We start from the raw sequence: 11,591 nt of genomic DNA on the forward strand, positions 1-11,591 counted from the left end.
TTTGTCAAAGATCAGATGGCTGTAGATGTGCGGTCTTATTTCTGAGTTCTCTATTCTGTTCCATTGGTCTATGTGTCTGTTTTTGTACCAGTACCATGCTGTTTTGGTCACTGTAACCTGGTAGTATAGTTTGAAGTCAGGTAGCGTGATGCCTCCAGCTTTGTTCTTTTTGCTTACAGTTGTCTTGACTTGTACGGGCTCTTTTTTGCTTCCATATTGAATTTTAAAATAGTTTTTTTCTAATTCTGGGAAGAATGTCAATGGTAGTTTAATGGGAGTAGCACTGAATTTATAAATTACTTTGGGCAGTATGGCCATTTTCATGATATTGATTCTTCCTATCTGGGAGCATGGAGTGTTTTTCCATTTGTATGTGTCCTCTCTGATTTCCTTGAGCAGTGGTTTGTAGTTCTCCTTGAAGAGGTCCTTCACTCCCCTTGTTAGCTGTATTCCTAGGTATTGTATTCTCTTTGTAGCAGTTGTAAATGGGAGTTCATTCATGATTTGGCTCTCTGCTTGTCTGTTGTTGGTGTACAGGAATGCTTGTGATTTTTGCACATTGACTTTGTATCCTGAGACTTTGCTGAAGTTGCTTATCAGTTTAGGTAGCTTTTGGGCTGAGACGATGGGGTTTTCTAGATAGAAGATTATGTCATATGCAAACAAAGACAATTTGACTTTCTCTCTTCCTATTTGAATACCCTTTATTTCTTTCTCTTGCCTGATTGCCCTGGCCAGAACTTCCAATACTATGTTGAATAGGAGTGGTGAGAGAGGGAGTCCTATCTTGTGCCAGTTTTCAAAGGAAATGCTTCCAGCTTTTGTCCATTCAGTGTGATATTGGCTGTGGGTTTGTTATAAATCACCCTTATTATTTTGAGGTATGTTCCATCAATACCTAGTTTATTGAGAGTTTTTAGCATGAAGGGATGTTGAATTTTATCAAAGGCCTTTTCTGTGTCTATTGAGATAATCATGTGGTTTTTGTCATTGGTTCTGTTTATGTGATGGATTACGTTTATTGATTCGTGTATGTTGAACCAGTGTTGCATACCGGGGATGAAGCTGACTTGATCGTGGTAGATGAGCTTTTTGATGTGCTGCTGGATTTGGTTTGCCAGTATTTTATTGAGGATTTTCACATCAATGTTCTTCAGGGATATTGGCCTGAAGTTTTCTTTTTTTGTTGTTGTATCTCTGCCAGATTTTGGTATCAGAATGAGCTGGCCTCATAAAATGAGTTAGGGAGGAGTCCCTCTTTTTCTGTTGTTTGGAATAGTTGCAGAAGAAATGGTATCAGCTCCTCTTTTTACCTCTGAATTCAGCTGTAAATCCATCTGGTCCTGGGCTTTCCTTGGATGGTAGGCTTATTACTGCCCCAAATCAGAACTCCTTATGGGTCTATTCAGGGATTCAACTTCTTCCTGGTTCAGTCTTGGGAGGGTGTATGTGTCCAAGAATTTATCCATTTCTTCTAGATTTTCTAGTTGATTTGCATAGAGATGTTTATAGTATTCTCTGATGGTTATTTGTATTTCTGTGGGATCAGTGGTGATGTCCCCTTTATCATTTTTTTTGTGTCTGTTTGATTCTTCTTTTCTTCTTTATTAGTCTAGTAGTGGTCTATTTTATTAATCTTTTCAAAAAACTGGCTCCTGGATTCGTTGATTTTTTTGAAGGGTTTTTCGTGTCTCTATCTCCTGCAGTTCTGCTGTGACCTTGGTTATTTCTTATATTCTGCTAGCTTTGGGGTTTGTTTGCTCTTGGTTCTCTAGTTCTTTTAGTTGTGATGTTAGGGTGTCGATTTGAGATCTTTCTAGCTTTTTGATATGGGCATTTAGTGCTATCCATTTCCCTCTTAACACTGCTTTAGCTGTGTCCCAGAGATTCTGGTATGTTGTCTCTTTGTTCTCATAGTATCAAATAACTTCTTGATTTCTGCCTTAATTTCATTATTTACCGAGGAGTCATTCAGGAGCAGGTTGTTCAATTTTCATGTAGTTGTGTAGTTTTGAGTTAGTTTCTTAGTCTTGAGTTCTAATTTGATTGTCCTGTGGTCTGAGAGACTGTTATAATTTCAGTTCTTTTGCATTTGCTGAGGAGTGTTCTACTTCCAATTATGTGATCAATTTTAGAGTATGTGCCATGTGGCACCAAGAAGAATGTATATTCTGTTGTTTTTGGGTAGAGAGTTCTGTAGATATCTATCAGGTCCACTTGATCCAGAGCTGAGTTCAAGTCCTAAATATACTTGTTAATTTTCTGTCTCAATGATCTGTGTAACATTGACTGTGGGGTGTTAATGTCTCCCACTATTATTATGTGAGAGTATAAGTCTCTTTGTAGGTCTCTAAGAACTTGTTTTATAGATCTGGGTGCTCCTGTATTGGGTGTATATATATTTAGGATAGTTAGCTCTTGTTGAATTGAACCCTTTAGCATTATGTAAAGCCCTTGTTTGTCTTTTTTGATCTTTGTTAAAGTCTGTTTTGTCAGAAACTAGGATTGCAACCCCTGCTTTTTTTTGCTTTCCATTTGCTTGGTAAATTTTCCTCCATCCCTTTATTTTGAGCCTATGTGTGTCTTTGCACATGAGAGGGGCCTCCTGAATACAGCACACTGATGGGTCTTGATTCTTTATCCAGCTTGCCATTCTGTGTCTTTTAATTGGGGCATTTAGCCCATTTACATTTAAGGTTAAAATTGTTATGTGTGATTTGATCCTGTCATCATGATGCCAGCTGGTTATTTTGCAGACTTGTTATTGTAGTTGCTTCATAGTGTCATTGCTTTGTGTACTTCAGTGTGTTTTTGTAGTGGCTGGTAATAGTTTTTCCTTTCCATATTTAGTGCTTCCTTCAGGAGTTCTTGCAAGGTGGTCACAAGTTCCCTCAGCATTTGCTTGTCTGAAAAGGATTTTATTTCTCCTTCACTTATGAAGCTTAGTTTGGCCAGATAGGAAATTCTTGGTTGGAAATTCTTTTCTTTAAGAATGTTGAGCTGGGCGTGGTGGCTCACGCCGGTAATCCCAGCACTTTGGGAGGCCGAGGCGGGCAGATCACGAGGTCAGAAGATCGAGACCATCCTGGCTAACACGGTGAAACCCCATCTCTACTAAAAATACAAAAAATTAGCCAGGCATGGTGGCAGGCGCCTATAGTCCTAGCTACTCGGGAGTCTGAGGCAGGAGAATGGCATGAACCCAGGAGGCGGAGGTTGCAGTGAGCCGAGACTATGCCACTGCACTCCAGCCTGGGTGACAGAGCAAGACTCCATCTCAAAAAAAAAAAAAAAAAAAAAAAAAAAAACAGAATGTTGAATATTGACTCCCAATTGCTTCTGGCTTATAGGGTTTCCACTGAGAGGTGCACTGTTAGTCTGATGGACTTCCCTTTGTAGGTGACCTGTCCTTTCTGGCTGCCCTTAACATTTTTTCCTTCATTTCGACCTTGGAGAATCTGATGATTATGTGTCTTGGGGTTGATCTTCTCATGGAGTATTTTACTGGAGTTCTCTGGATTTCCTGAATTTGAATGTTGGCCTGTCTTGCTAGCTTGAAGAAGTTCTGGCCTGTCTTGCTAGGTTGGGGAAGTTCTCCTGGATGATATCCTGAAGTATGTTTTCCAACTTGAAACGGTTCCGTTCTCCCCGTCTCTTCCAGGTACCTGAATCAGCCGTAGGTTCGGTATTTTTATGTAATCCCATAGTTCTCAGAGGTTTTGTTCATTCCTTTTCATTCTTTTTTCTCTCACCTTGTCTGCCTGTCTTATTTCAGCAAGATAGTCTTCAAGCTCTGAGATTCTTTCCTCTGCTTAGTCTCTTCAGCTATTGATATTTGTGGTTGCATTGTGAATTTCACATTGTGTTTTTCAGCTCCATCACATTGTTTATGTTCCTTTTTAAACGGGTTATTCTGGTTAACAGCTCCTATAATGTTTTATCATGGTTCTTGGCTTCTTTGCATTGGGTTAGAACATTACTCCTTTTGCTCAGCAAAGTTTGTTACTGCCCAGCTTCTAAAGCCTACTTCTGTCAGTGCATCCATCTCAGCCTCAGCCTCAGCCCAGTTCTGTGCCCTTGCTGGAGAGGTGTTGTGATCATTTGGAGAAGAGGCACTCTGGCTTTTTGAGTTGTCACCGTTTTTGTGTTGATTCTTTCTCATCATCCTCAGTTTATCTACCTTCGATTTTTGAGGCTGCTGACCTTTGGATGGGGTTTTTGTGGGGTCTTTTTTTGTTGATGTTGTTGTTGTTGCTTTCTGTTTGTTTGTTTTTAACAGTCAGGCCCCTCTTCTGTAGGGCTGCTGCCATTTGTTGGGGGTCGAATCCATACCCTACTCGCCTGGGTCCCTCTCGCATCTGGAGGTATTACCAGTGGAGGCTGCAGAACAGCAAAGATGGCTGCTTGCTCCGTCCTCTGGGAGGAAGCACTGACCTGATGCCGGCAGGAACGTTCCTGTATAAGATGTCTGGCAACCCCTGGTGGGTCTCAGTCAGGAGGCACGGGATCAGGGACCTGCTTAAGGAAGCACTCTGACTGCCCCTTGGCAGAGCAGCTGTGCTGCACTGAAGGGAATCCCCCTCCTCTGGACTGCCCAGACCCTTCAGAGCCAGCAGGCAGGAAAGACTAAGTCTGCTGAACCACGAAGACGATAGTCACCCCTGCCCCCAGGGGCTCCTTCCCAGGGAGATCAGTTCTGCTCATAAACCCCTACCTGGAGTTGCTGACATTTCTGCAGGGAGGCCTCGCCTAGTGAGGAGGAATGGATCCGAGTCCCACCTAAAGAAGCGGTCTGGCCACAATCTGCCACTACCACTGTGCTGTGCTGTGGGGAATTCCTCCTGGTCCAAACCACCTATTCTCCCCGGCACTGGCAGGGGAAAAGGGCAGACTGGACCTGCAGTGATGGTGGCTATCCCGGGAACTTGGTCGTCTTAGGCAATCTCCAGCCTGCTGCTGCTGGCTGCAACCTCAGTGGCCACTGAGCATCTGGGCAGCTCTGTGCTTGGGATCCAAGGCCCTGTTGGCCTGGGCTCACAAGGGGAATCTCCTGATCCACGGGTTGCACAGATCTGTGGAAGAAGCATGGTTTCCTGGGCAGGGTGCCACAATCACTCATCGCCTTCCTTGATTGGGGGTGGGAACTCCCCTTGCCCTGTGCGGCTCCCAGGTGGGGCTGTTGCACTACCCTGCTTTTCCTCACTCTCCGTGGGTTGTGCCAACTGCCTAGTCAGTCCCAATGAGAGAACCTGGTTACCTCAGCCTGAAAGTGCAACATTCACTCGCTGTTTTCATTCTTGATAGGAGCAGCCAACAGCAGCTACTTCTAGTTGGTCACCTTGGCCCCTCCACCGACCTTGCCAGTCTTTTAATTAAGTTGTTCCTTTCCCCATCCTTCCTTCCTTCTTCTTATCCTTTTTCTCCTGCTCCTTCTCCAGCCTTATTGCACTGACTAAAACCTTCAGTACAAAGTTGAATAGAAGTGGTAGGATTAGTCATCCTATTGTTATTCCTGCTCTTAGGGAGATAGCATCCAGTCTCACCTTTCATTATGATGTTAGGTTTTCCCTAGATGCCCTTTATCAGGTTGAGGAAGTTCCATTGTAATCATAGTTTATTGAGTATTGTTAATCATGAAAAGGTGTTGGATTTTGTTAAATTCTTTTACTGCATCTATTGAGATGATCAATGTTTTTCTTTTTTAGTCTGCTATAGTTGATTATATTCATTAATTTTTGAATATTAAACCAATCTTGCATTCCTAGAATAAACCTCACTTGGTCATGGTGAATTATCATTTTTCTATTTTGTTAGATTCAATTTGCTAAAATTACGTTAAGAATGTTTGCATTGTCTGAGCATGTTGGCTCACACCTGTATTCCCAGTACTTTGGGAGGCTGAAGCAGGAGGACTGCTTGAGGCCAGGAATTCGAGACCAGCCTGGGCAGCATAGCAAGACCCCATCTCAGCAAAACAATAAAAATTAACTGAGTGTGGTGGCATGCCTGTGTTCCCAGCTACTCAGGAGGCTATGGTGGGAGGATCGCTTGAGCCCAGAAGTCCAAGGCCTCAGTGAGCTATTATCACGCCGCTGCACTCCAGCTTGAATGACAGAGGGAGACTCTGTCTCAAAAAAAAAAAAAATTGATTCCATATGTATGAGGATATTGGACTATAGTTTTCTTTTCTCATAATGTCTTTATTTGGTTTTGGTGTCAGAGTAATGCTTGCTGACCTTAGAGAATGAGTTGAGAAGTACTGCCACCTCTTTAAATTAGTGGAAAAGTATGTGTGGAGATGTTGTTATTTCTCCCCTAACTGTGTTGTAGAGTTTATCAATAAAGCCATCTGGGCCTGGAGTTTTCTTTGCAGGAAGATTTTTTTAAACTACCAATTCATTTTTTTAAAGATACAGGGTTTATGCAGGTTATCTATTTCTTCTTGAGTGAGCTCTTGCAATTTGGGTCTCAAGGAATTTGTCTATTTTTATTGAAGTTGTCAAATTTATTGGCATGATATTGCTCATAATATTCTTACTATCCTTTTAATATCTATAGAACCTGTAGAGACTGTTATTTTTTTCATGTAACAGGTTTATTGAGATATAATTCACATACAATACAATATACTCATTTAGTGTATGATGCAGTAGTTCTTAATATATTCATAGTTTTATAACCATTACCACAATCAATTTTTGAACATTTTTATCAAGCCAAAAAGAAATTCCATACTCGCCTGTAGTCCCAGCTACTTGGGAGGCTGAGGCAGGAGAATGGCGTGAACCCGGGAGGCGGAGCTTGCAGTGAGCCGAGATCCCGCCACTGCACTCCAGCCTGGGCGACAGAGCGAGACTCCGTCTCAAAAAAAAAAAAAAAAAAAAAAAAAAAAGAAATTCCATACTCATTAGTAGTCATTCCCCATTTCCCTCCAATTCCCACTCCCTCAGCCCTTAGCAACCACTAATCTATTTTCTGTCTCTGTAGATTTCCCTATTCTGGATGTTTCATATAAATGGAATCACATAATTTATATTGTTTTATGATTGGCTTCTCTCATTTAGCATAATGGGGTTGGGGGGGGCTTTTTAAATGTAATTTTAAAAAGTATATATTCTTTTTCATAGAGACGAGTCTCACTATATTGCCCAGGCTGAGCCACTGTACCCAGCCCTAGCATAATGTTTTTAAGGTACATCCATGTCATAGTATCTATCAATATTTCATTCCTGGCCAGGCACAGTGGCAGATGCCTGTAATCCCAACACTTTGGGAGGCTGAGGCAGGAGGATCACTTGAGCCCAGGAGTTTGAGACTATCCTGAGAAACAAAGGGAAACCCCATTCTTTACCCCTCCCTCCCCGACACACACACATACACACACACACACACACAAAATTAATAGGGCATGGAAGTACATGCTTGTGGCCCCAGCTACTCGGGAGGCTGAGGCGGGGGAGGATCGCTTGAGCCTGGGAAGTTGAAGCTGCAGTGAGCCGTGATTGTGCCACCACACTCCAGCAGGCAGCAGAGCAAGACTGTCTTAAAAAAAAAATTCATATTTTCTATGGCTGAATAATATCTATTTCATTTTATAGGTACACCACATTTTTTATCCATTTATTAGTTGATGTACATTAGGATTGTTTCTACTTTTGGGCCATTATCAATAATGCTGATGTGAACATTTGTGTATAATTTTTTTGTTTTTGTTTTGAGACACAGTCTCACTCTGTTGCCCAGGCTGGAGTGCAGTGGGGTGATCTCAGCTCACTTCGACCTCTGCCTCCTGGGTTCAAGCGATTCTCCTGCCTCAGCCGCCTGAGTAGCTGGGATTACAGGTGCGTACCACCATGCCTGGCTGATTTTTCTATTTTTAGTAGAGACGAGGTTTGACCATGTTGGCCAGGCTGGTCTCAACTCCTGACCTCAGGTGATCCACCAGCCTCGGCCTCCCAAAGTGCTGGGATTATATCCGTGAGCCACCATGCCCGGCCTCGTGTATAAGTTTTTATGTGAGTATATGTTTTAATTTCTCTTATGTGTATATCTAGGGGTAGAATTGCTGTGTCATATGCTAAGTATATGTTTAACCTTTTTATTTATTTATTTATTTATTTACTGAGGTGGAGTCTCGCTCTGTCGCCCAGGCTGGAGTGCAGTGGTGCAGTCTCAGCTCACTGCAACTTCCGCCTCCCAGGTTCAAGCAATTCTCCTGCCTCAGTGTCCCAAGTAGCTCAGGTTACAGGCACATGCAACCACTCCCGGCTAACTTTTTTGTATTTTTAGTAGAGACAGGGTTTCACCATATTGGCCAGGCTGGTCTCTAACTCCTAACCTTGTGATCTACCCGCCTCAGCCTCCCAAAGTGCTAGGATTACAGGCATGAGCCACTGCGACCGGCCTATGTTTAACCTTTTAAAGAACTACCAGACTTTTCCAAAACAGCAGCAACAGTTTACATTCCTGTCAGCAGGGGATGCGTGCTCCAATTTCTCCACATCCCCACCAACAATTGTTATTAACTTTTTTATACTGTTCCATTGATCTATATCTCTGTTTTGGTACCAGTACCATGCTGTTTTGGTTACTGTAGCCTTGTAGTATAGTTTGAAGTCAGGTAGCGTGATGCCTCCAGCTTTGCTCTTTTGGCTTAGGATTGACTTGGCAATGTGGGCTTTTTTTGGTTCCTTATGAACTTTAAAGTAGTTTTTTCCAATTCTGTGAAGAAAGTCATTGGTAGCTTTATAGGGATGGCATTGAATCTATAAATTACCTTGGGCAGTATGGCCATTTTCATGATATTGATTCTTCCTACCATGAGCATGGAATGTTCTTCCATTTGTTTGTATCCTCTTTTATTTCATTGAGCAGTGTTTTGTAGTTCTCCTTGAAGAGGTCCTTCGCGTCCCTTGTAAGTTGGATTCCTAGGTATTTTATTCTCTTTGAAGCAATTGTGAATGGGAGTTCACTCATGATTTGTCTCTCTGTTTGTCTGTTATTGGTGTATAAGAATGCTTGTGATTTTTGTACATTGGCACCGAACAGAGCCCTCAGAAATCACGCCGCATATCTACAACCGTCTGATCTTTGACAAACCTGAGAAAAACAAGCAATGGGGAAAGGATTCCCTATTTAATAAATGGTGCTGGGAAAACTGGCTAGCCATATGTAGATGAAACTGGATCCCTTCCTTACACCTTATACAAAAATTAATTCAAGATGGATTAAAGACTTAAACGTTAGACCTAAAACCATAAAAACCCTAGAAGAAAACCTAGGCGTTACCATTCAGGACATAGGCATGGGCAAGGACTTCATGTCTAAAAGCATACCAAAAGCAATGGCAACAAAAGCCAAAATTGACAAATGGGATCTAATTAAACTAAAGAGCTTCTGCACAGCAAAAGAAACTACCATCAGAGTGAACAGGCAACCTACAGAATGGGAGAAAATTTTTGCAACCTACTCATCTGACAGAGGGCTAATATCCAGAATCTACAATGAACTCAAACAAATTTACAAGAAAAAAACAAACAACCCCATCAAAAAGTTGGCGAAGGACATGAACAGACACTTCTCAAAAGAAGACATTTATGACGCCAAAAAACACAAGAAAAAATGCTCACCATCACTGGCCATCAGAGAAATGCAAATCAAAACCACAATGACATACCATCTCACACCAGTTAGAATGGCAATCATTAAAAAGTCAGGAAACAACAGGTGCTGGAGAGGATGTGGAGAAACAGGAACACTTTTACACTGTTGGTGGGACTGTAAACTAGTTCAACCCTTGTGGAAGTCAGTGTGGCGATTCTTCAGGGATCTAGAACTAGAAATACCATTTGACCCAGCCATCCCATTACTGGGTATATACCCAAAGGACTATAAATCATGTTGCTATAAAGACACATGCACACGTATGTTTATTGTGGCACTATTCACAATAGCAAAGACTTGGAACCAACCCAAATGTCCAACAATGATAGACTGGATTCAGAAAATGTGGCACATATACACCATGGAATACTATGCAGCCATAAAAAATGATGAGTTCATGTCCTTTGTAGGGACATGGATGAAATTGGAAATCATCATTCTCAGTAAACTATCGCAAGGACAAAAAACCAAACACCACATGTTCTCACTCATAGGTGGGAATTGAACAATGAGAACACATGGACACAGGAAGGGGAACATCACACTCTGGGGACTGTTGTGGGGTGGGGGGAGGGGGGAGGGATAGTTTTAGGAGATATACCTAATGCTAAATGATGAGTTAATGGGTGCAGCACACCAGCATGTCACATGTATACATATGTAACTAACCTGCACAGTGTGCACATGTACCCTAAAACTTAAAGTATAATAATAATAAAATAAAATAAAAACTTTTTTATTATAGCCATCCTCATGGGTGTGACAGTGATGTCTCTCTTGTTCTTAATATTGGTAACTTGTGACTTCCCTCTTTTGTCTTTATCAGTCTAGTAGAAGTTTATTGGTTTTGTTGAACTTTTCAAAGAACCAACTTTTGGGTTAATTAGTTTTCTCTCATTTTTTGCTATTTCATTGATTTCTGCTCTGGTCTTTGTTATTTCCTTTCTTCTGCTTATTTTGAGTCTCTTTTTCTAATTTCTTAAGATTTAAACTAAGATCATTGATTGGAGATCTTTGCTGATATAGGGGTTTTAATGCTATACATTTCTTGCTATGTACTGCTATACTAGATCTCACAAATTTAATGAATTGTATTTCTCATTCAATTCAAAATGCTTTCGAGTTTCCCTTTGATTTCTTCTTTGATTCATGGGTGATTTAGAAGTGTGTTATAAAATATTTGAGGATCTTCCAAATATTATTCTCTAATTAATTTCTAATTTAATTTCATGTGGTGTAAGAACATATTTTGTATGATATGAATCTTTTAAATTATTGACTTGTTTTCTGTCCCAGACAGAATATGGTGATAAATGTCTTACCTGTATGTGAGTAGAATACGTATTGTGCTCTTGTTGGCAGGAGTGTTCCATAAATGTCAATTACGTCAAATTCATTGATAGTATTATTAGAGTTTCTGACTAATTTTATCAGTTATTGAGAGAGGGGATCCAGCTATTGTGGATTTGTCCATTTCTTTTTTATTTCTGTCAGTTTTGCTTTACGTATTTTGAAGCTCTGTCATTAGGTATATAAACATTTAGAATCATTGTGTACCCCTTGTTGAAATGATCCTTTTATCATTCTGAAATGACCCTTTTAATACCTAGCAGTATTTTTGCTATGAAATCTACTTTGTCCGACATTAATATAGACATTCTAGCTTTCTTTTGATTAGTGTTAGCATAATATATTTTTCTGTCCTTTTACTTTTAACCTATTTGTATCTTTATATTTATTAAAGTGGTTTTTTCATAAGGAATATATAGTTGGGTCTTGCATTTTTATCCAATCTAACAACCTCTGCCATTTCATTGACATGTTTAGACCAAGGATCAGCAATCTATAGCCCACAGGGCAAACCTAACCACTGCCTGCCTTTGGAAATAAAGTTTTATTGGAACGCAGCCAAGTCCATTCATTTGTGT

General features: G+C 40.8%; 1 protein-coding gene across 12 annotated transcripts in view; it reads left to right on the plus strand.

Moving 5' to 3' along the window:
* The window catches only part of GPR89B (G protein-coupled receptor 89B), a 97,515-nt gene that overhangs the window by 45,535 nt on the left and 40,389 nt on the right, over nucleotides 1–11,591 (plus strand). The gene's annotated exons all lie outside the window — the stretch shown is intronic.

This window comes from Homo sapiens, chromosome 1 (assembly GCF_000001405.40).
Source record: "Homo sapiens chromosome 1, GRCh38.p14 Primary Assembly".
NCBI lineage: Eukaryota > Metazoa > Chordata > Mammalia > Primates > Hominidae > Homo > Homo sapiens.